The following is a 22,607-nucleotide window of genomic DNA, read 5'->3' on the forward strand; positions in this document are numbered from 1 at the left end:
GCGGTTAAGTTGTTTGTGTGGGAATTGCCCGGGGAAAGCTGGCGCGCGGTACAAACGAGAAACGCGGAGGTGTGTGTGCAGGGTTTTCTCCCAGGGCTTCGCAAGCCAGAGGGGCGCTCAGGCCAGTGCCTGGACGGGGCTGCCCCGGCCAGGAGGGGAGCCCAGGGGGAAGATGTGCGTGTGTGTGCGCGCGCGCGTTGCAAATACGAAAGTAATTTCCCCGTGTTCTTTCTTCCTCTCCGTCTCCGGCGGCGGTGGCCCCGGGGGAGTGGGAGGCCAGCCGGGGCGGAGGTTGGGGGGCCGGGGCTGGAGCCGGGGTCGGGGGGGGGAGGCGGGTTCTGGAAGCTTGCTTCACATTCCTGGCGTCTGGGCTGGGGAAAAAACAGTGGGGAGCGCGGCCTCGGCGTCTAGGGCGCGGGCAGCGGGCGCGCGTCGCCCCCTCGCTGGGGACATCTGTCCAGGAAGCCGGCCGGGCGGGGATAGGGCGCGGTGCGGAGGGCAGGCTCCCCGCCCTGGAGCGGTGGGGGCGCGGGCGAGGGGCGGCCGCCTTCCCGGCCATTGTGCGCCAGCAGATTTTCACGGGAGACTGCCCCGGAGCCGCCGGAGAAGGCCGGGAGCCGGCCTCAGCCCCGGGTTTAAAAGACACTCCAGGAATGTAAACAACCCGGGCGGGAGGGCGGGCGGACGGGAGCGCGCCAGGGCAGCCGGTCCGGGCCCCCCACCCCTCCCCGGGGACAGCCGGTCGGCACTGCCGCCCAGCCCTACCCCTCTACCTGCAGCAAACTTTTTCCTTCTCTGCCTTCCCTTCCCACCTCGTCCCTCCAGCAGGTCACAGAGCGAGGGCCGCTCCCAGGTGGGCCAAGGGTGCTTGGTACCCTTGCCTGACCGGGGAGGCCTGACGGCCGGGTCCCTGCTTCGGTGCCCGGAGCCCCGGCTGCGCCTGCCCGGGAGCCGTCAGCTTCCTGGGTAGGCAGTGCCCGAGTAACTGGGGCTTTGAGCCTGCCCGCCTGCCTCCCTCCCTCCCTCCCTCCCGCTGCTCCTTCCCCCGCGCGCTCTCCCCCTTCTCCTCTCCCCTGACTGCTTTTCCAATGCCCTGACATGAGGGAGGAAGATTTAACTTGGCAGCCCAAACAAATGTTCTCTCAGAGGTCCTCCAAGAAGCTGGCGGCTGGGCTGGCGGGGTGAGGGCACGGCTCGGCCAGCCTTTCCCTCCTCTCTGCTCTGCCACGGACATTTGGAGCCCTCTGGGTGGACAGCCCAGGGCATGGGAGAGTAGGGCCCAGCCCCAAAGATTTAAAAGGGCAGTGGGCGGCCGCCTGTGGAAGCCCCTGGCTCCGCGCCGGGTGCAGAGCCGCTCCGAGCTGCCTCCTGGTGCCAAGGGTTTTCTGAAGGATTTTCTTGAGCAACAGTTTGTCTCCCTGCTGCAACCTGGGAACCGGGCCTGGTAGACCAGAGGGTTAACCAGTGCCGACTCCTCCTCCCTGGTGGGTGTGAGGACAGGCTGGTTACACAGGGCAGGGCAGGAGGCCAGAGGCTGTTCCCAGAGGTGCCTGGGTTTGCTTATTACTGTTTTTGAAGGTACAGATAAAGAGGCAGGCGCCGGGGCTGGAGAGCCGGGCAGCTTGGCGCTGGTGAATTCCAGCCTGCGTTCGCTGGCGCTTGTACGGTCCCGGGAGTGTGAAGCTGCTGTTGAGCTATCGGGGAAGTTGAGATGAGAGAGCAAGCTCTTTCTTAGCCTTCTCAGCCCCGGCTGCTTTGTGAGGGGGTCCAGAGTGGGGGAAATTCCTGGCCCCTCACTTGCTGGCTCCTGGCCCCAGTGCAGGGGCCGGGTGGGTTTGTGAATACCCCAAGCCTTGGGCTGACCTTTCCCTCTTCAAGTCGAGGATGTTGAAACATCAGCATCAAACAAAAGACACATTGAAAGCCCTATCTGCTACAGAGCACGTGTGAGTTGGGGGCCCAGGGAATGCATTTGGAGGGAGATGGTGTTTTCTTCTGAGCTTTATGATTTTCGGTTGGGTTTTGTTTTCCCCCAAAGGACAGAAGCGTCTCCTTGTCCCAAATCACGAGGTTTTGAAACGCTGTTTTCACATGTAAATCTCAAAAGTTTAGACTTCTGAGAGTTGGTGGCAGTGACTGGGGGTGGGGGCTGGGTGGGGGGAGGAGAAGGGAGCAGTAGGGAGTGGATTCAAGAGGTGGATTTGGCATTTTGGGTAGGGCTTACTGAGAAGAGTTGGGAATAAGAAATTGCTGGACTTATGAATAAATAGCCTTGTCTATGCAGAAAAGGGTTGCTGGCTTCTTTGTGGGGACAAAATGTCCCTTTTCCCTCCTAAGCAAAGGGGGGAGGAGGGTTCTTGTTCCTCTCACAGCCAGGGGCAAAATGAAGAAAGGTCCAGAGACTGCGGGGTTTGGCGACAGAACCAGTTTCTCCCTCACGCACGCGCGCACGCACACTCACTTCCCTAGCCACAATAACAACGATGTCTCCATCCCTGGCCCCCATAGATATGCCTCCAACATAGGACAGGTGTCCATGCTTGACTCATTCCAGAAAATTGCAGGGGCAAGGACCCAACTGAGAAGAGCTGCAGACTTCACTTTTTTTCCTGTTTCTTCCTGATGGCGGGAGGGGTGAAGGGATTTAGGAAGGAAGGCACTTTGAGGCCTGCTGCATCCTGAGAGTTTTGTCACAAGAATACCTGCGTATAAAGCCACTGACCCTGAGGGTCCAACGAGTGGCCATGACCCTGGCCTCAGGGTGAGGCATTGTTGTAAGAAATTCAGGCACCAACCAATTAATTTCCAGAAGCTTCTGTAGGCACTTGGTCGTGGGACCAGGAAGCAGGGCCTGCTGGTTCGTGGCTGGGTCCTCTACATTTTCATTCATAACTTTGCTCCCCAGGGCCCTGGCCCAGCCCCTGTCACTGCTGCCTGGTCTTTATGAGGCTCCTTAGATTTTGTGTGGACAACAAAGGCCAGGCTGCCACGATTACCCAGGACACTGCTGCAGCCTTGCCTGGCGACAGCTCTGACCTCTTAGCAGGATATAGTGCTCTCTGCTCATGCCCTTTGGGGGAGTGCTCTTTGTCCTTAAGAGTCCCTCAGGATGGGGAGGCAGCAATCCACCTGGCTGTAAGCTCCGGGGCGTTCTGAGGTTGGGCCCTGCCTTTAGAGAGGATGAAGGGAGAAGGCTGAGAAAAGCAGTCCTAGGCATAGGCTCTGGGGAGAGGCTAGACCCCATCATGATTGAGAGGGTCTCCCTATTACCGGAGGAGATGGGCGAGAGGACCAAGGTGTCAGGAGGCTGTTGCTTGCTATCTGTGTTGGGCCAGTAACTCTCCTGTGCTGGACCTTAGTCTCCTGATCTGTAAAATGGGTCTGAGGGCAGAACTCCTCCGATCCCACTTGGTTGCTGGGAGAATGAGGCAGATGTGGGCATGAGTCCCCTAGGCATGTGTCCCTTGAAGGCCTGGGAGGCTCTGGGTACAGAATGGGTAGAACACAAAGGGTTTAGATTGCAAGTGCTAGAAGCATTTTGCTGAAGCTGCTCTCATCCAGACCTACTTCCCTGGCAGCTGATTGTCCAGTCTTGGCTTGCATGCCCCCCACAGGACAGGGTACTCATTACCTCCTGGAAGCCTCTGCCTTCAGTGGGCAGTTGTGAGTGTTAACATGTTCTGCTACATGCCTTCTGCAAATCCACACCTCCTGACCCCACTCTGGGCTTGAGATGCTGGGGGGCCCTCCAGACCATAGACTCGTTCTTTCCTGAATGATCCTGGGTTCAAGACCAGTGCCTAGGCAGGCCCCTAGGTAGGGGGACACATTCAAGTGGCTGCTTCTAGCCCTTATTGGGAATGACCTGTTGTGGGGGGTGCAGAAGGGGGAAGGGTCTGCCTGGGGGTGCTCACTGTCATCTGCCTTTGTGTGCCAGGTTTGCCTCTGGGCACTTTCCTTGGAGCGGGGTATGAGAAGGAAGGGGGTGCGTGATGAGGGCTGGGGTTGGGTCGGGCCCGGCATGGGTGCCACAGGTGTTGACTGTGAGTGTCCACCCTGTGGATAAAGACTGTGTCCTGGGAGAGACCAGAACTGTGGAAGACAGTTCCTGTTCCTCAGGAGCCCACAGTCCAGTGCCGGCAGGAAGATCAGTCCAAATAAATAATTAACCGCTACCAGCTGGCTGCCTGCCACGGGCGCGTGATGACAGTAATAACCACAGCCCCTCTCCTTTGTATGGTACTTGGTGGATTTAGAAGCTTTTTCCATCTTTGTTTATCCCCAATAACAACAGTGTAAGCTAGTTACTATTTGGAATTATCCCCATTTAACAGAGCAGAAAACCAAGGTTCAGAGCGGTCAAACAACTGGTGGCAAAGTTAGGACTGAACCTCAGGCCTTACCGATACCAACCCCTGCGCTGCCTCCTTTCCAGTCCACTGAGTGAGCGCTCCAGCCAGGCTCGGACACGGTGCAGAGTCAGGATAGGCTCCAAAACTGGGTGCTGGGGGAATGAGGTGAAGGAGGAGCCATTCTCAGGAAGGGTCACAGATGGGCCTCACCTGTCTTCCCCCTCCCATATGGCAGCACATGGTCCATGCCCCCAGTAGCTGTGTCCCTTTCTTTTGGCACAGTGTCTTACAGCCAGAGCTTGCTTCGAGACACAAATCCTGCCTTGACTGCCCAGGGCACACAGGTCTATACATGGGGCTTCATGCCCTTCTCCGGCTCTGGAGTAGGAGGCAGAGGTGTTTCCAGCCCCCCGGGTCCCCATGAAGCCCAGTGCTCTTCCTTGGGTTCCTATGGTTTCTGTAGTCCCTCTTCGGGCTGAGTCAGTCCCCAGGCTATGTGGGGCACCCACTCCGTGTGAGACCTTAGGTTCTTTCTGCCCCTTGCAGCCTCCACCCTTGGGCCTGGTTTTCTGTAGCTCAGCTGAGTGCCACCCTAGGACAAGGCTGTAGCTAGTGGGGTTCAGGCCAGGGAGCAGCCGGGCAGGCTGAGCTGGCACCTCCCCAGGAAGCCTGGCCCAGCCTGGCACACCTGTGCAGGTAATGACTGTGGCTTGGGAGGGCCCCAGGCCCTGCCTGTCAGGCCCAGCTGCCGGAGTTACTGCAGGATTGTGCTGGGGGAGGCTGGGGTGTCTGAGCTAATTAGATTTCTTAGATTTCAATGCTCCCCTAATCCTGTTAGTCTGGCTGTAATTGTAACCACTTGAAGGTTTCGGCTGTGGCAGGCTGTTGAGGACAGACGGTGGGGGGACTGTGCTCTGCCCCAGCCCCAGCTCCACCCCTAGACAGCCAGCTGAGGGCCTGGGGACTGCCTTCTTAGGTCTTGAGGATGGGGGCTTGAGTGATGGTGGGTGTCGTGTTTTTCTGTAGAAACTGAGTATCGCAGACTGTCAGAGTGGACATAGCCCTTTGAGATCACCCAGCTCAAACCCTTCACTGTTCAGATGGGGAAACTTAGGCCCACAGAGGGACAGAGACTGGCTCAGGACCTTGATGGCTGGTAGCAGTGGAGCATCAAAGACTAGTGGTCTGACTTTGGGATATTTGTCCCTAGGCACTTCAGGGAAAGTCTGGAATTTCCAGGGACTAGTGAACCCTCCAGAGACTTCTGCCCCTAGAGATAGGGCTTGGGGGGCTTCATTTGTCCCCAAGCTTGTTCCCCAGTTGGCAGTTACCTGTCTTATATTCCCCCAGCCCTGTGTGTGTGCACACCTGCACACAGCTGCACACACATGCACACACATGCACACATGCACACCTGCACACATGCAAACGCATGCACACCTGCACACACATGCACACACTGGCCCTGCTGGCCAGGGCTTCTGCCAGGACTCCGGCTGCCTGGCCCAGGGTCCTGAGACCTGAGAGCTCTCTCCGTCCTCCCCCACCACTCTTAGCCAGATACTTGCCCTCTTGGAGCCTCTGATTCAATGCAGATCAGGAAATGGCCAAGCTGTTCTGATGGGGGTGTGTGTTAAAATACATACACTGTACTTTCCCCAGCTCTTTCTTCGAAAGTTCTGTTTTGGTGTCTGGCTTAAATGGAGATCTGTCCTCTCTCCCCGCACCCCATTCTCACTTCCCAATCCGCAGGGGATGACTGGCAGGGAGGATGGGGACGGTGTGCCTTGGATCTTCCCACTTAGGTCCTGTGCTGCCCTCCTCTTAGCTCGGGAGCTTCGGGGAAAGATCTGGAAAGCCCCTTCCACTGTGAACCTCTCTGACTCTGGGGTTTGAATTCCTAAGCTTGTAGCATAAAATTAGTGGGAACTGGTTGCGTTACCTGGTCTGGCCTTTCCTTTCCTAGCCCAGGAAACTGAACCATGGAAAGAAACACTTGGTCTCATCCAAGGTCAGCAGCGAATGGGTGACCGATCTGGGCCTGGAACCCCATCTCCGCCAGTCCATTAGCTCATGAAACATGTATTGAGTGTGTGCTGTTGGCCTGGCACAGCCCCCCTTAGCCACTCTTGAGCTCATTAATAAATGCTCTTCGGGTCTGATGAGAGGCCCAGCTGAACCTTGGGGGTGGGGTTCACTTCTGAGTGCTCAGGGTGAGGACGAAGGATGGGGAGTTTTCAGTGGCATTCCCAGACTCCCAGATCCTCTGCAGCCAGGGGAGTGTGGAACACTCCTGGTCTGGCATTAGAGCCCCTGCCCAGCAGCATGTGTCTTTACAGGGTGGTTGCATTGTGAATTTGAGAGAAGTAAAACAGGGCCGGGCACAGTGGCTCATGCCTGTAATCTCAGCACTCTGGGAGGCCTAGGCAGGTGGATCATGAGGTCAGGAGTTTGACACCAGCCTGGTCAAAGTAGTGAAACCGCATCTCTGCTAAAGATACAAAAATTATCTCGGCATGATGGTGGTGCACGCTTGTAGTCCCAGCTACTCGAGAGGTTGAGGCATGAGAAACACTTGAACCCATGAGGTGGAGGTTGCAGTGAGCCAAGATTGCACCACTGCACTCCAGCCTGGATGACAGAGCAGGACTCTGCCTAAAAAAATAAATAAATAAAACAAAACAGAAACCATCTAGGGAGGGTACAAGGTTTCTCATCTGCCGGGACCTGTTTAAGCCAAGAGGATGGTAGCTTCCCATACCTCCCCTCTCCCCTCCAGCCAGCCCTCCAGGAGCTGACCTTTGTCCTTTGCAGAGCAAATGACCCACTGACTTGGTCCTGCCTTCACTTCCTCTGTGTATGGGGAAGCAGGGAGGTGGCCTTCTCACCCCACCCTAGGAGTCACCTGCTGAGAGTCACCTTTGTCAGCCTAGGTGAGAGCACACTAGGAAGAGCCAGCTAGGCTCAGGACAAAGGAGGAGATGCCAGGTGCCTGGACCTTGCCCTGTCCACAGGGGTCCCACCCAAACTCCTACCCCTACTCCCCGGTGGACCTTGACCGCCGCTGGGAAGCACAGTGCACAGCTCTAACCACTCAGCGACCTAGCCAAGGATCAGCAGGGCACAGAGACCTCTGGGAAGAGTCCTGAAACCCTTTCCTGGTGTGTGCAAGTGGGACGCGACCTTATAGGGTCTCTGTCCAACCTTCTTATTTTCCACATGGGGAAACCCAAAGCCCAGAGAGGTGGTGGGATTGGCTGGGGGTCATACAGTGGGGTGTCTCACTAAGAGTGGGGGGTTCTGTGGTCTGGGTGGGGAGGGGTGGGGTTTTCCATCGAAAAATGGTGTTCCATCGAAAAATGCTTTGGTGTTCCTGCTGTTGTTTACATACTTAAAACAACTTGCCAAAGGTCTGCCATAAATATAATAGCCAGCATTTATTGGGCAACTAATGTGTTTCATGCTTTTCCCAGACTGCCTGGGTTCAGCCCTCAGCTCTGCTCTTTATGAGCTCTGTAACTTTGGGCAAGTAATGTTTAACTTCTCCGACTTTGGTCTCCACATCTGTAAAACAGGCTTACTAGTGGTGTAGTAATAACTAACATACTACCTCCTCCATAGGTTGAGAAGATGGAGTGCGCAAACTTCCTGGCACATAGTAAGTGCTCAAGAAAAGGTAGCCCTAGTCATGGTCACCACCAGCATTCCCATTGCCTTACCTCTGATTTACAGATGAGACGGTGAAGTCGATTGCCCAGGTCATGTGGTGCCTGGAGCCCAACCAAAGCGGCCTGCTGGCACCTAGGCTTCCTGATCTCCAACTCCCTGCCGTTTTCCACACTCTTGTGTAGCACAAAGGGCTGGCCCATCATCTCTGAGAGGCCCCCAGTCAGTCATAACCCAAGTACATTGTAATTCAACCTACTAGGGCAGCTTGTTCCCCTTGGAAAGGCGTTCGAGAGGGAGGTGTTGCATCTGGGCTTCTGTCTGAGAAGCTTATTTTTTTCATGTGTAAACTGAGGCTCATAATAACAATACCTACTTTTTGGACTCTTCTCGTGTGAAGGGAAGGAGGCCACAGAGGGACTGGGCTTGTCAGTTGTACCCTATTATGTGGAATCACTATGAATGGTAACTGACTGGAACTTCTGGCCAGTCACTCACCCCTCCGAGCCTCAGTTTCCTCATCTGAAGACCATGAGCCGAAACAACATAATCTCTTCCCGAAGTGGCTTCTCAGGGCCACCAGTCCCCAAAAGCAAAAGAGAGGGCAGCAGAGCACCCCCACCCCCAAGAAATTGTCAAACCTATTTGCCTGGAGGAGATGGCTCAGAGTAAATAGTTTGCTTCACTCAGCCTTTCCCCAGACTACAGACACCACCCACCCCCGACTTTTTTTTTTTTTTTTTTTTTTGGAGTGCAGTGGTGCAATCTCAGCTCACTGCAACCTCTGCCTCCTGGGCTCAGGTGATTTTCCCACCACATCCTCCTGAGTAGCTGGGACTACAGGCATGCGCACCCATGCCCAGCTAATTTTTGTATTTTTTTTTTTTTGCATATGGTGTTTCACCATATTGCCCAGGCTGATCTTGAACTGCTGGGCTCAAGCAATCCACCTGCATCTGCCTCCCATAGTGCTGGGATTACAAGCATGAGCACCATGCCTAGCCCCACCCTTTTTTTAATGCAAAATAACTATGGAAAAGACCAATAGACCATTTTGGGAAACGCCCGCGTAAACAGTCCCTTTCAGCTCAGGCATTGCAGCTCCATCCAGCGGATGGTTTACCTACTGAAGAACCACCTTTCCAGGGGAGCCTTTCACAGAGGAGAGGAGGGGACAGTGTCTGCAGAGGCAGAAGTCTTCCCCTCAGCCTGCTTTCTTGGCCTTTCCACCTCTTTTTAACCCACCCTCCAGCCTCCCACTTTTGCTGGCCTCCTTGTCTTTTCTTTTTTTGTTACCAGACCACAAATCTGTTTGTGGTTGGGCAGTCCCAAGAGCAAGGCCAACTGGGCAGAGGGGTGGGGCCTCTGCCATGTCCCTAGAGACAGGCCCCAGAGTTTTGCTGGCTGTCAGAGCCAGAAGGGGTTTGTTTCACCCATGGGGGCTGTGGGCCCCCAGAACCTGTGGTCAAGCCTTTGCAAACGTGCACTTTCCTGGAGAGGTGGTCTGAAGCCTTGTTTCAGATCCTTAATTCAATGTGGACACCTGGAAACAGTGTCGAAACTATAGCCTTAGTCCAAGGGTCTGTAGTCCCTGGCCGTTGAATGGAGTGGAACTGTCATGCTGCCTTTCTCCCCCTCTTCCATTCCACCTCAGTCGTGTGACTCTTGAAGATGTGAATAGATTTATGTTCACACCTCCTGCTTCTAATCCAGCTTGACATGTTCCTGGCAAGGAAACTGTGACCAAGGGATGTGAAGCGACTTGACCAAGGCCACAGGGCCTGGCACTGGGGCCGGGGGGGTCCAGGGAATGATGAGTGAGTGGCAGGCAGGCATGGCCTTCTGCAGCAGCTGACTTCACTGTGAAGCCATCCCATCTTGTCCTCTGTGAGACCTACTAGGGGTGTTGGGATTCAGTGTCCCAGAAAGAGCTGGCACTGGGGTGAAGGAAGTCCCCGCCCAGTCCCTCTTCTAGGAAGGCTGGGCAGGACTGGTTTAGGAGTTGCCTCCTCTGGGTCAGGAGGTCAGCTTCTGCTCTGCAGGCTGCATTTTGTGGGTCCCGCCCAGGTTCATGGTTCCTCTTCGGGGGCTGTGGGGACCACTGGCACTTATATTGAGGGGCACACGGTGTCTTCAGATTGCCCGGCTGGTGTAAGCTGGTTAGGAGTCCTTAGCTGGGGTTGTTGTGCTGTTGGTGGGGAGAGGCAGCCTGGGGCCTCCAGAGAGCCGCTGGCCGGCCACTCTGTAATTGTGCATGAGTCACTCTGCCTCCCTGCTCGCAGTCCTCATGTCCCCACCTTCCTGGGATCCTGAGAAGTGGGCTTTGTGATGGTTGGGAGCAAGTAAGGGGATTTCTTGGCTCTCCGCCTGTCTGCCCTGTGTGCCCGGCATACCTGAGCTCCACAACCTCCCTGCGCCTCAGATCCTGGGAGAAGAGCAGAAAGCTCGGGTGTGACTTTTTTTTTTTTTTTTTTTTTTTTGAGACTGAGTCTTGCTTTGTCACCCAGGCTGGAGTTCAGTGGCACGATCTCGGCTCACTGCAGCCTCTGCCTCCCGGGTTCAAGAGATTCTCTTGCCTCAGCCTCCTGAGTAGCTGGGAATATAGGTGCCCACACCACCATGCCCAGCTGATTTTTGTATTTTTAGTAGAGACGGGGTTTTGCCATATTGGCCAGGCTGGTCTCGAACTCCTGACCTCAGGTGATCCGCCCGCCTTGGCCTCCCGAAGTGCTGGGATTATAGACGTGAGTCACTGCGCCGGGCCTCAGGTGTGATTTCTTGTTTGGTGTTTGGCGATGGGGCTGTGAAGCTGTGAGTTTGACGTCAGTTTATCTCCTGCAAAAGAATGGCCTTCTGATTCCTCCCACCTGGCCTGGGTTGACATCTGCATTTCTGCTTGTGCTTCATCTGCAGGACTGACCCCTTTAGGCAGAAGGAGTGGGTCTGCATTGGGGGTTGGAATCCTCATGGGCCTCAGAAGTCTTGGCGCCTTCTGCCTTGTGGATGGCCTCCCTCCTAGCCAGCTCCCCAGAGGGGTCTGGGCAGCTCTGCTCCACCCGAAGGCTCTGGATGCTCCTATTTCTGGTATTCTTGGCACCTTTGATTCCCAAGACCATTAGGGACCTTGGCGCCCATCTCATCTGATGCCTGTCATACGGATGACTTATGCCCCATCTACGCTATCCCCATAGAGCACCTTCCCATGTGGGCTTGCATGCCTCCACGGACAGGCTGCTCCCTGCCTCCCCAGCAGCTCCCTCTGTCTAGAAAGTTCCACATCGTATGGAGCCCAGAAGGATACCTCTCCCCTAGTTCTCTTCTCAGGACCTTGCAGAATGTGGTGAATTGGTCCTCAGGAAGTCTCTTCCATTCTCTGCCTCAGAGATTGTATCCTCGGAGACTTCTCTCTGGGCTGAGTCTAAGGCTGGAGAAGGCAGAATGGGCTTCCTGGGGAGGTGGCCTTCTTATATCCCCTGGGCCTTATTATCTCTGCCTCTGGTAAGAGTCTGGGCAGCTTGGAGACCTGAGACCTGACCTGAAAATAGCTTAGCCCAGGTTGTAAGACGTGGCAGTAGGCTGGGGAGGCCACAACAGTGGCTCACTGGGGCCCTAGGGGAAGAAAGTGGTCTGGCTTCTGCTTTTCAAGCAGGGTCAGACATTCCAGGAGGCTGAGAAGGCCGTCTGTCTTCCTAGCCTCTTGCAGCATGCTCGCCTGCCACTGCAGCCAGAGCCCCCTCACTGGAGGTAGCCAGGGGCTGTGAATAGTGCTTCCTCCCCTGTGGACCAGCACCCAGCTCCTTACTGAGCTCCTCTCTGCCTGGCCCTGCCCCCTGCCACTTAGGCGCATCTTGCCTAAGTGTCTACAGGCCCCTGAGACCTGGGCTCTGTGCAAGGAGCGCTGGATTTAGAGACAGAACTTCTGGCCTCCTCCTGCCAGCATCGCTGGGGGCTGTCGCACGAGTCCAAGGGGAAGGCCAGCACGTTGCATGCTGTCCAGTATCACTGCATCGGGGAGTGTAATGTTTCATTACCATGTGCAATGATGGTAATGGCAGCACAGAAAGGCCCTGGAGACCATCCAGGCCAACCTTCTCATTTAGATGCTGAGTCAAACCCCAGAGGGGACGAGGTCACACGACAAGTCCCTGGCAGAGCTGGAGCTAAAATCCAGGTGTTCCCACCATCTAGCCAGTGCCCAGCCCTGCCTGTTACTCCACAGAAACCCTTTGCTGGAGTAAGGCACAGGAGAGGTGCCTCCATGGCTGTGGCAGTGGCACTGGCCTGGCCTGGGACTCACCTTCCTCATTTTGCAAAGCGGCTGGGCCTTTCGGCTCTGGCTGTGCCCACCAGAAACACTCGTCCTGGGGGCAGGCACTCGGTGCCTATGGTCTTGGTAAGACAGCTGGCTCCTCCAGCCTGGGGGCCGCTGCCCTATAGCAGGACACTTTCTCTCACTTCCTGGCTTATATGGGGCTGCCTTGCATTCCGCCTTGGGTGGCAACAGGGTCCTCAGGAGCCCACCTGAGACCCCACGCCCAGCTTTTTGGCTCATCAGGCTCATTTGGTGGCCTAGACCATGGCTTGAATTTATGGTCTGAGATGCAGCCTGGTGTGATCCCTTCCAGGCCCCTAAGACCCAAAGATGCCCAAACTATTGGAGCAGGAGGGACCTGGGCAGCCAGTCTACTTAATGCCCTTCTCATCCCATTTCCCAGATTAGAGCCCTGAGGCCAGAGAGGGAAGGAATCCAGCTGCAGAGCTGCAGGCAGGATCCCATGTCCTCCCAGCCTCACTGGCTTGGTCTCCCCCTACTTTCACCCTTTGCGCCCGAGGCTGTCCTTGGCCTTCCCAGGCTTTGTGTGGAGTGAAGGACGATGGGGGACAATGGGCAGAGTAGCAACTGCTACTTTTCCCTCAGGGCTCCTCTAGACCTCTGCCAGGCCCTGCGTCACTTCCAGTTCTGGGGAGCCCATGCACTGAATGGGCTGGGAGGGTCCTGCTGGTGGGGCCTCGTGCCAGCCTGAGAACAAGGCTTCCTGGCTGGGCTTGAGTCCCCAGCACTCTGGCCCTGGGGAGGGCAGAGTCTGGGGTCCTTTTGTGCCTCCCCTCGCCCAGCTACCCAAGGAAGGTGGATTCATGTATTCCTTTGTCAAGTTTATCAAGCACCTTCCATGTGCCAGGCACTCTTCCAGGCCCTGGGGATACATTGGTGAATTTGACAGGGGCCCTGCTTACATTCTAGTAGGCGAGACAGTCAGCAGGTCAACAACTTAATGCATGACATCATGCCTGAGTTATAATCAGTGCTTTGAAGAAAAATAAACCAGGATAAGGTGATATAGGGACATGAGTGGGTGATGGGGCTTCTTTAGGTGGTGTGGTCAGGGAAGGCTTCTCTGAAGAGGCTGCATTTGAGCACATACCTCAGGGAGACAGGGAAGTGAACTCCATGAACATTTGGGAGAAGAGCTCTCCAGGCAGTGGGAACAGCATGTGCAAAGGCCCTGTGGCAGATGCTTGTTTGGCGTGGTCTGGGAAAAGCAGGGAGGCCAGTGTGGCTAGATGGAGTGAGGGAAGGAGAGAGTGGGGAGGAAGTCAACAGAGTGATCAGGGACCAGGTGATAAGGGACAGAGAGCCTTATCAAGTACAGGAAGGGCTTCTGACTTCATGCTCAGTGATTTGGAAGCCACTGAAGGATTTTAAGTAAAGGACTGAGGCTATCAGATGTGTCCCTCTAAGATCTCTGGCTGATGAGCCGAGAATAGACTGAAGGGACAAGGGTGGCCACAAGGAGACCATCTGGGCAGCATTTACAGGAACCCAGGAAAGGATGCTGGCGGCTTGGACCAGAGTGTTCAGTGGAGGTAGTGAAACAAGGTCGGATCCTGAATGTATTTTAAAGATTGACTGAGGCTGTGGCCAGGAGCCCACTGGGAATGCCTGTCCACCTCCGTGAAACAGGCTGAGCTAGAGAACTGGCTCAAGTTGCTGTGTCCTGGGAGTCTGAGCCCTTCTCCTTTTGTGCTTGTCAATTCCTGTGCCTCAGCCACTCTGTCATAAGGTGGCCTTTTAACAGTTGGAAAAATAGAGGCATAGTGGGTCTTCCTGATACCCTTGTCTACCCTTGGAATTCTGATATTCTGCATTTGGTCTCTCTCCTCCCCTCTGGCTGATTCCCTGGCATTCATCCCCTGCATGTTCATACACTCCACTCTATGCACCATAGTTTCCCAACATGTTAGTCATCCTCTATCCCGAGGCCTTTGCATATGCTAAGTCCTCCACCTCCACTCTTCAGTCAGGTGAACTCCTACCCATCCTTAAGAGCCCAGCTCAAAAGCTGCCATCTTTGAACTCTCTCCCCTGACACTCTCAGGCACTGAGGATTTCTTCTCCACTGAAAATTCTACTCCTCTCCCTCCCACACTCTATTGCAAGGGATCAACTGCGTGGGGCTGGGTCTGTGCCTTCCTTCACACCTCCTCTTTCTGTTCTGTGTCCTCACAGCCTGGCCCAGGGCCAGCACAGAGGAGGGAACAAAAACATTTCAGTGTATTCCTGGAGCAGTAGTTGGTTACTATGGAAACAAGGAAGTGTTGCAACTTCCTGAACTTGAGGTTGGGGTCAAAGAGGGCAGCTCTATCTTGGCCACACGGGATCAACCCAAGATGGCCATGCTGAGGTTCTTATTAATTCAAAGTCACTTCGGACAGGCTCTTTCCCATCCCTGAGCCTCAGCTTACCCCATCAATAAGATGCAGGTGTTGGGACTGCTTGACTGTCTGCTCTAACGTTCTGTATCCTTGTGCCTCCAATCCTGCCGTATGAACACAGGCAGGTCCTTTGCCCTCTTTGAGCCTCAGTTTCCCTATTTTGTTGACCTCTCTCCAAGAACATAGCTGCCTGAGTCAAGCAACTCCAGAATCCTAGGGTCAGCGGCTGGGCTGGCCGTTGATGATTGAACTGGGATTCTTGTGACTTGCAGAGGCACAAAGAGGGAAGTCCTGCTTTCCAGGGTGGTGGGGTGGGGGTGGGGGAATGAGGCAGCAGGAGGGTGGGTTGGTAGGGATAATCCAGGCCGGCTCACTCTGGCCTGAACCTGCACAGGCCCCTGGGTCTCCTTTCTTCACCTTGAAGGTGGCAGGAGCTAGTGCTTGCCAGGGGCCCTTGGCTCTGCCGGACGCTGCCCGCTCCGCATTCTGGTGCCGTGCCATGTAGATCCCGGCCTGTGCTCTGAGGGCCACAGGTCCTGTGGTGGCCCCAGAGGCTGCCTGCTGCCTGTGGTGGCAGGGCTGAGTGGGTGGGCACCATGTTCTTACTGTGTCTCTTCTCTCTCCACTTCATTGCTCAGAAGCCAAGAGTTAGCCAAGCACAAAACCACAGCCTGGCTGCTGGCACCCTCCTCTGCAACCCTGCAGCACCTGGGCAGGCTGGTTCTGGGGGCTCAGCACCAGTCACCAGGGCTCGGATGTAGCCTCCTCAAGCTGGGGGTGGGGGTCAAGGGGCCAACATGCCCAGCGTGACGCCAGGCCCGCAGTTGAGTTCCCACCTGCCATTTGCACATGCCATTGGGCAGAGTGGGCAGAGGCCTCAGCCCGCATAACGCCCCACCCTGACTCCTGCCTGGCACTCAGGTGCCGTCTGGCCTGCACCAGACCCAGAAAGAGTGACCTGGGATGAGAGGCCTTCCATGGCTCTCTGGGCCTGCCTCCTCATCTGAAAAATGGGCAGAGGGTGCCCGCCTCCCATGGCCACCAGGAGGGGAGACAGAGGAAGGCAGCTTGTGATCTCCAGAGCCCAATAAACACGCTTGTTAGGATTACCAGCAGCAGGCAACAGGCTTCAGCCCAAGAGATGCCCCTGAGAACCTCTTTTTCAGGAAGCAAAAGCCCAAACCTTTTCAGAATGAGACTCTTATTCTGGGAATGAGAAGTGCCTCTCCCTCTGTTTCTGAGCTGTGCCCAGTGGCCAGGGACCTGAGTGGCCATCACAACGTGCCTTTCCCGCCTACCACTGCTCCCTGGCTTTCTAGGGTTGGAGTTGGATGAAACCCCTGGGGCAGCACCGGGCACTGGAAGGGCCCTGGTAAGGGAGAGGATACCCACTGCCCATCTCTGCCACTCATCAGCTTCCTGACCCTGACGAGTCCTTGTCTCTCTGCCCTCTGTGCATTGAGGCCCCTTCTAGCTGGGACTCTCCTTTGGAGTCTACTGGAGCATTTTTACCTCCAGGATAGGTGAGGCTCCCTACTCCAGACCCCCAGGATGTAATGTGGGTCTCACCTCAACTCACAAAATTCTCACTTCTGTTAAGAAAGGGCCTTGCCATGGTTGACGGGGATTTGCACTTCACCGTGTGGACAGTGACAGAATGCGTCTCCCCGCCCCTCCTTACCTGGCAAACTTTGTCATTACCTCCTCCCAGGGACCTCCTAGGCATTCTCCTCTGGACTCCCTCAGCCCTCAGCCTTCTCCTCCTCCCGGTACCAGCTAGGTCAGACAAGACCTGGAGCAGAGAAGGTGCCCAGTAAAGCCTGATGAGTTCTTGAATGATCAAGTGAAAGCCCTCAGGTATCCAGATAGTTCAGTTGGCCAGAAAGCCCATTTTTCTCAGATTTTACTCAGCTATGTTTGCTTGTTCAGCATATAGAATCCTTTTTATTTTTATTACTTCATTTTATTTTGTAGAAACTGGGTCTCAGTCTGTCACCCAGGCTGGAGTACAGTGGTGTGATCATGGCTTACTGCAGTCTCGAACTCCTGGACTCAAGCGATCCTCCCACCTCTGCCTCCTGCTGGGACTACCGGCACGAGCCATCACCCCGGCTAATTGAAAAAAATTTTTTTTGTAAAGACGAGGTCTTGCTTTGTTACCTAGGCTGGTAGGATCTTTTGTTATTTATTTTTTATTTTTTTATTTTTATTTTTTTTAAAGATAATCTTTTTGGAAGCTCTGTGTCCAGGACTGATTCTCTATACCTTTGGCCAATCTCTTTCTTTTAAAACTAGGGTTTCCTGAATTGCATTTTTGCATTTCTTTTATTTACCTGGTCTGTGCAACTATTTTTTTCTCTTTTGGACTCCATATAGCAAATAATTCTGCCTCTCCTTTTATTTGAATTTCTCATGCCAAAAAGGCAGGGAGGGTTAGTAAACACTGCTTTGGTTGTTCTTTGTTTTGTTAAGTGTTTTTAACTTCTTAGTGTGTTAGACTAGATTTTATCTGCCTTTCCTACCTGCCTTAACCCCAGGCCTCTAACCCTCCACCTTCCCATTGCTTGTTCACTGGCATTGTGTCTCCTAGGACAGCTGTGTGTGGTAGCGCATGTTGCGCACTGCACAAGTTGGGGGTGGTACTCACATTTTAGTCCCCTCACATTATACATGTATTAGATGATTTTTTGGCAGGTGATGGTAAAGTGTTGGAGGAAGGGGAGCCTGGTTCTAATTCTCATAAAGCCACCTTGGATTAGGAGTAGGCTGACATTGTCCCATGGTCCTGGCTGAAATTGGGAAGTCATTTTGACTCCTTCCCCAGGGCTGTACCCCGTGACATTGGGTGTCCATGTCCCCATTCCCCTGCCCAGAGCATGGCTTATGGGAGTATGTAGTCAGGGAACTGATGTCTTTGGACTCCACCTTCTGGATGTTTCTCCAGCCACCTCTCCTGTCTACATCCCCAGGCAGCAACCTTCTCCCTCAGGTGTCTACCTCCAGCTTCCCCTTTTCCATCGCCCCTTCACTTGGCTACCAGTGTGAACCTGAATAAAAGGCACCCCTGATCTATCACCTCTTCCACTCTACTTAAAACTCCTTCGTGCCTCTCTACGATCTACAATCTGAAATTCAGTGCCCTTCATTCTCTGGCCCCAGATGAACTTTCACTTGTGTGTGCTTTGCACGTTGTGTTCCTCTCTGCTCTGTCTGCCTGGAGAACTCCTAGGCATCCTGCAAACTCTGCCCAAGCCTCAGCTTGCCCTCATGCACCAGCTAGGTCAAGCGGATTGGTCCTCCCCTTGCCCCGGTTCCCCAGGCACTGTTTCCTGACCAGTGTTGCAGCCCTTGCTTGGCAGGATCGCAGCTACCTTTAGAATACCACAGCCACCACCAGGCTCTGGCTCCCTGTCACCCAGCAGCACCAGCTTGGATCTAGCAAACATTCCAGTGCGCTCCCTGCAAGTTGAATAACACATGGTGGCTACCCTTTCCCAGAGCTGGTCGGCTTTGTGATGTGGACCATGTGCATGGTCTGACCCCTGGCCCCTTCTTTTGCCCTTTCCCCTGCCAGCCAAAGCCAGAGAGATGGCTGGGCCATGCCAGGCTCCCAGGAGCGCTTTGTGGGTCAGGTTGTTTTGCCCAAAGCTACTGGGTCTGAGGATACCTGTGAGCTTGCTGTGCCTGCATTGCCGCTGCCCAGGCTTGGCTTCCTGGGAGAATTGGCTCGGCAACAGCAGCCTGGGCCAGGCCACAAGGCTTCTTGGGCAAAACTCCCTGGGCAGGGCCAGGGGCTGGGGCCTCATATGCACTGCCTGTGCACCAGGCGAGTCTGTGGGCAAATGAGCTCCAGCTTGCCATGGTGCTGGGGGAGGGCCACCCTTCTGCTGGGTAAACATGGGTGTTCAGGCCTGCCTAGGCACGGCCCTGGGTTCTTTCGGTTAAAGGTGCAGGACAGCATTTTGTCGAGCCGGGAGTTGCCAGTGAGAGGGTGACAGAGAGGGACACATGGGAACCTTCACCAACCTTCCCTGGGACTCGGCCCCTACAGGCTTTAAGCAGAGGCTGCAAGGAGGCTTAGGGGTCCCTGGGCCAGGACTACTGTTCCGACTCTGAGATCTTTTATCTGCTGCAATGCTGGCTGCTTTCTGGGACTTGGGGAAGGTGGGTGGGCTGTGAGCAGGTGCGTTTCCTAAGCCAGGTCTGAGACCAGAGCTTCCATTTAGCGGTCCCCACTGCAAATGCATTTCAGTCCTTGCTCCCCCAGGCAAAGCTCACATCCTTGGGAACATCCTTCCTGCACCAGGCATGGTACTTTGGGGTCTGGAGACTGTCGCAGCACCCCTCTGAAGTGGGTGGTATTATCCCATTTTGCAGAGGAGGAAGCTGGAGTTCAGAGTGCTGAACTTGTTCAGCCTCCACAGCTGCTCAGGGAATCAGGTCTTCTACTCCCTACGTGAGGCCACAGCTTGATTTTTCTTTTCTGGTCCGTGGCTGTTTGTACAAACGAGTATCCTGTGGACATGGTTGTCTGCCCCTGCCCCTCCGACAGGACAGCGCTGAGCAGGTACCTGGGCTGGTGCCACACTTGGGGAGGTGGACACGTAGCCTCAGAGCCCGAAGCAACTGGTGGGGTTCATTCCCATGGAGGAGAGGTTCTCCGTGGTCCACGGCCGGAGCCTCCGCATGTCAGATCCTTCTCCCCACCCAGATGGAGCCAAGTGGGCCCCACATCAGTGAAGGAAAAAGCCCTTGGCTCTTGTGCAAACACAAATTGTGGAAGAGTGGCATCAACAACACGAGGTGCTCCCCATCCATCCGGCTCACTTTCCTTCTACGAGATGAACTCAGCTCAGGGTGTTTTGTGCCTTCTCCGGTTTGCTCTAGTTTGGTTTTGGTCTGGTACAATTGAAGTCTTTGCCTCCTTCCGACAGAAGCACTGGACCCCTCTCCCTGGGCCCTGAAAACCCGGAGGGGTACTGGGACTGCTGTGTTGGATCAGAGGAGTCAGGTAGAAATTAGGGGTTCTGGGTGCAGGGAGCACTTGAGGTGCCTGCTGCATGCTCCCTGAAGACAAAATCCCAGGGAGGATGTGTCAGTTCCGAGGGCCACTGAGATCACCACCTCCGTGAGCATGAGCAAGACCCTATTGGCCGCACCTGGGACAGCCTTCCTGGGCAGGGCCAGTCCTACCACCTCCTTTGTCCCTCTCCCACTCCCCAGACCCCCACCCCCTACCCCTCAGGCCACCTGCTCCCTTTTTACCCAGGCACATGTCCATGTGTGCCCTTACAAGCTCCTGGCTTTCGGAAGGGAGGGGACAGGTTGTAGAGAGACGGGATGCGCCGGAGTGTAATTTTATTTCTGTGGCTCTCCTTTCAAGCTGTCACGGTAAATCTATTTTACTTGTCACTTTGTAAATCATTATGCAGGATTAAGCCTTTTACCAGCTTTTAAGGCTTCTGCAACCAGGGACAACCCCACCTCTCCCTCATCCTGCCTTCTTTCCCTCACCTCCCTTCTGAATGACCCTACTGCTGTGTCTTAAGGCTCAGTTAGAATGTAAGTGGGGACCCAGGAGACAGCTTGCTGTCATTGAGTTTAGCTGCCCCATTTTACAGGTGGGAAAACAATCCCTGGAGAGGGAGGGACTCCCAGGTGCAGTGCCTGGGGTGCTTAGTGTTTTGTGGTGCCCCTGAGCAGTGGGGAGGGAAGTTGCTGAAAGCAACCGAGCCTGGGCATGGGACTTGGAGGGTTTTTTTTCTCATCCCCCATGGGGACCTGGAGGCCCCCTGTGGCTGTGGCAAGATTGCTCAAGACCCACAAGGAGACCCCGTTTGGAAGAGGAGACATACTTGGAGGGAGAGAAGGACCTTCTGCCCCCTCTCAGGGTGTGGGGCTGGTGGGGTAGGGGACTGGTGACAGGAAGCTGGAGGTGGGAATGTGGTCACAGTCACCCTACTGGCATGTGGGATCCCGTTTATTTATTTCTCCAGAAATCTGTGTCCTTCTCCAGAGAAGGCTTTGAGGTGCAAGAACAATGAAGCCATGTGCTGAGATGTTGAGAGTTGCAGATAGTGGCTGGGACTACTAGGCCAAGAGCCAGCAGTGTGCAGCGGTGCGTTTCCTTTCACGGGTCCATCTGGAGCAGCCTGCTCACAAAACCAGAGTGAAAAGATGCTCACCCACAAGGCTGATGTGCATTGTGGGAGCTGAGGTTTGGGGGGTGCCCACTTTGAGAAGCCAGGGATGTATGTGCCCAGGGCCAGACTGCCCAGCTGGGCCATGCCGGGTTTGACAGCCTTAGGTCTTGCTGCCTTTTCCATCGGGATACACTGGCCTCATCGCCAGGTCAAGGGCTTCCTCCCTATTGCTGGGGTTCCAGGGCTGTCCTCTGCCCGTCTGTGCCAATAGAGGGCCCCGCCTTGGGGGGCTCACACTCACCTGTCCTGCTTCCACCACTCCCCACCTAGACCTCTGCTGTCTTGAGCCCAGATGAATTAATCTCTTGCAGCAATTTCAGTCTACCAAGAGACCTTCTCCAGCATCTTCTAGGGGAGGGTCCTGTGCTTTGGGGAAGCTGGACTGGGTGACATTCATTTCCACAGCCCTCTTTGCTTTCCCTGTTCAAGCCACCATGATGTGCAATGGCAGCTGCCTCTTTTTTTTAACTTAAAATTTTAAAATTTTGTGAGTACATAAGTAGGTATATGTATTTATGTGGGCAACTGCCTATTTATTGGCCTATTTCTAGACTCGAGCTGTTCTGCAAAGCCAGAGCCTTGTCTCTTATCCCCTAGCACGGGGGCCATAACGGCACAGGCTAAGGCAATATTTCTCCATTAGAAGGATGGCCAAACAAGAGTCCTCAGACCCTGACCTCAAGGAGTTTCACAGTCTGCATTGGAAACAACCTTGGCTACTCAGCAGAATAGCTGCAAGGAGTACTGAAAGCTTCAGAGAAATCGGCTAATAAGTTCCAAGGAGTGAGATGAGAATGAGCTAGAGTGGTCGGTGGGGAGGGGCCTCCTGGAGGAGGGGGCATTTAAGGGCTGCACTGAGGATGGAGAGGCTTTAGCTAGAACAAGGCAAGGAGCGGGAGGAAAGGTACTTCTGGGCGGTGGAACCGGCATGACCAAAGGAAGGGAGGTGTGCCTGTGGGGGTGCTGGGGCAGCTCAGCCAGCACCCATGGACTTTAGGGGAAGAACAGAGGCCAAGTTTCTAGGGATGGCTGGGACCCCAGAAGGAAGCCAGGGTTAGGAGGGAACACTTATTCTAGAAGTGGGGAGGGAGAGGTGTGTGACAGACTGGGTGAGGACAGAGCAGTGTTTTAGGAGATTTAGTGACAGGGAGCCACCTGGGTTGGAGGAGACCTGAGCCTATTAATTAGGCAGGTGAGTGGAGTCCCTGAGGTGTACTTCAGGACCAACCAGGCTCCCTGTACTGGGTGGGATGGGGCAGGGCTTAGGGGCTGGTGCTGTTCCCACCAGCCCCGCTCCATGCTGAGTGGGAGAGGAGGTGGCAGCAGCAGCTGGGGCTTCTGAAGATCTGGGTGCAGGCTTGGTCTGGCTACTCCTGTGCCTCTGTCCTCAACCTGCAAAATGGGGAGATTCTGCAACTCCACCCAGCCTGTCTGCCTGCTGCTGTGAGGAGTGCTGGAGACACAGGGAGGGGAAGTTCTTTGTGAACTGACATTGCCTGTTCTCATCCCCTTCTGGAAAACTGGTGGCTGCCATGGCATGGCCATTTCATGGCTGCTGGCTTCCCTCTGTTCTCCAGATTGGGGGTGACCCTAGGACCTGGGTTTCATTACCAACAAGCCATGTGATCTTGGGTCAGTCACCTCCCTCTTCCAGGCCTTGGCGTTCTCCTCC

The 22,607-nt window shown here is 55.0% G+C and overlaps 1 protein-coding gene across 11 annotated transcripts in view, besides 13 other annotated features; it reads left to right on the forward strand.

Annotated features, from left to right (window-relative positions):
* Positions 1-22,607, forward strand: part of ZMIZ1 (zinc finger MIZ-type containing 1) — a 247,554-nt gene that overhangs the window by 861 nt on the left and 224,086 nt on the right. The gene's annotated exons all lie outside the window — the stretch shown is intronic.
* Positions 101-150: an enhancer, noted in NCBI's record as "active region_3623". NCBI's record gives its function as "activates an Ori minimal core promoter by ATAC-STARR-seq in GM12878 lymphoblastoid cells {active_cell/tissue: GM12878}" and the evidence as "EXISTENCE:reporter gene assay evidence [ECO:0000049][PMID:35858748]".
* Positions 2,456-2,959: an enhancer, noted in NCBI's record as "H3K4me1 hESC enhancer chr10:80832039-80832542 (GRCh37/hg19 assembly coordinates)". NCBI's record gives its function as "activates a minimal SCP1, AML or CMV promoter by ChIP-STARR-seq in naive H9 embryonic stem cells {active_cell/tissue: H9 hESC(naive)}" and the evidence as "EXISTENCE:reporter gene assay evidence [ECO:0000049][PMID:30033119]".
* Positions 10,258-10,767: an enhancer, noted in NCBI's record as "H3K27ac-H3K4me1 hESC enhancer chr10:80839841-80840350 (GRCh37/hg19 assembly coordinates)". NCBI's record gives its function as "activates a minimal SCP1, AML or CMV promoter by ChIP-STARR-seq in primed H9 embryonic stem cells {active_cell/tissue: H9 hESC(primed)}" and the evidence as "EXISTENCE:reporter gene assay evidence [ECO:0000049][PMID:30033119]".
* Positions 13,952-14,523: an enhancer, noted in NCBI's record as "H3K27ac hESC enhancer chr10:80843535-80844106 (GRCh37/hg19 assembly coordinates)". NCBI's record gives its function as "activates a minimal SCP1, AML or CMV promoter by ChIP-STARR-seq in naive H9 embryonic stem cells {active_cell/tissue: H9 hESC(naive)}" and the evidence as "EXISTENCE:reporter gene assay evidence [ECO:0000049][PMID:30033119]".
* Positions 13,952-15,093: a biological region, named in NCBI's record as "hESC enhancers GRCh37_chr10:80843535-80844106 and GRCh37_chr10:80844107-80844676". NCBI's record gives its function as "regulatory_interactions: PPIF".
* Positions 14,319-14,819: a transcriptional cis regulatory region, noted in NCBI's record as "chr10:80843902-80844402 region (GRCh37/hg19 assembly coordinates) targeted for CRISPR interference". NCBI's record gives its function as "negatively regulates PPIF gene expression in LPS-stimulated THP-1 monocytic cells {active_cell/tissue: THP-1(+LPS for 4hr)}" and the evidence as "EXISTENCE:mutant phenotype evidence [ECO:0000015][PMID:33828297]".
* Positions 14,524-15,093: an enhancer, noted in NCBI's record as "H3K27ac-H3K4me1 hESC enhancer chr10:80844107-80844676 (GRCh37/hg19 assembly coordinates)". NCBI's record gives its function as "activates a minimal SCP1, AML or CMV promoter by ChIP-STARR-seq in naive H9 embryonic stem cells {active_cell/tissue: H9 hESC(naive)}" and the evidence as "EXISTENCE:reporter gene assay evidence [ECO:0000049][PMID:30033119]".
* Positions 14,596-14,715: an enhancer, noted in NCBI's record as "active region_3624". NCBI's record gives its function as "activates an Ori minimal core promoter by ATAC-STARR-seq in GM12878 lymphoblastoid cells {active_cell/tissue: GM12878}" and the evidence as "EXISTENCE:reporter gene assay evidence [ECO:0000049][PMID:35858748]".
* Positions 15,440-15,509: a silencer, noted in NCBI's record as "silent region_2528". NCBI's record gives its function as "represses an Ori minimal core promoter by ATAC-STARR-seq in GM12878 lymphoblastoid cells {active_cell/tissue: GM12878}" and the evidence as "EXISTENCE:reporter gene assay evidence [ECO:0000049][PMID:35858748]".
* Positions 17,891-18,877: an enhancer, noted in NCBI's record as "H3K27ac-H3K4me1 hESC enhancer chr10:80847474-80848460 (GRCh37/hg19 assembly coordinates)". NCBI's record gives its function as "activates a minimal SCP1, AML or CMV promoter by ChIP-STARR-seq in primed H9 embryonic stem cells {active_cell/tissue: H9 hESC(primed)}" and the evidence as "EXISTENCE:reporter gene assay evidence [ECO:0000049][PMID:30033119]".
* Positions 18,878-19,864: an enhancer, noted in NCBI's record as "H3K27ac-H3K4me1 hESC enhancer chr10:80848461-80849447 (GRCh37/hg19 assembly coordinates)". NCBI's record gives its function as "activates a minimal SCP1, AML or CMV promoter by ChIP-STARR-seq in primed H9 embryonic stem cells {active_cell/tissue: H9 hESC(primed)}" and the evidence as "EXISTENCE:reporter gene assay evidence [ECO:0000049][PMID:30033119]".
* Positions 20,486-20,987: an enhancer, noted in NCBI's record as "H3K4me1 hESC enhancer chr10:80850069-80850570 (GRCh37/hg19 assembly coordinates)". NCBI's record gives its function as "activates a minimal SCP1, AML or CMV promoter by ChIP-STARR-seq in naive H9 embryonic stem cells {active_cell/tissue: H9 hESC(naive)}" and the evidence as "EXISTENCE:reporter gene assay evidence [ECO:0000049][PMID:30033119]".
* Positions 20,988-21,487: an enhancer, noted in NCBI's record as "H3K4me1 hESC enhancer chr10:80850571-80851070 (GRCh37/hg19 assembly coordinates)". NCBI's record gives its function as "activates a minimal SCP1, AML or CMV promoter by ChIP-STARR-seq in naive H9 embryonic stem cells {active_cell/tissue: H9 hESC(naive)}" and the evidence as "EXISTENCE:reporter gene assay evidence [ECO:0000049][PMID:30033119]".

Source organism: Homo sapiens, chromosome 10 (genome assembly GCF_000001405.40).
Source record: "Homo sapiens chromosome 10, GRCh38.p14 Primary Assembly".
Classification (NCBI taxonomy): domain Eukaryota; kingdom Metazoa; phylum Chordata; class Mammalia; order Primates; family Hominidae; genus Homo; species Homo sapiens.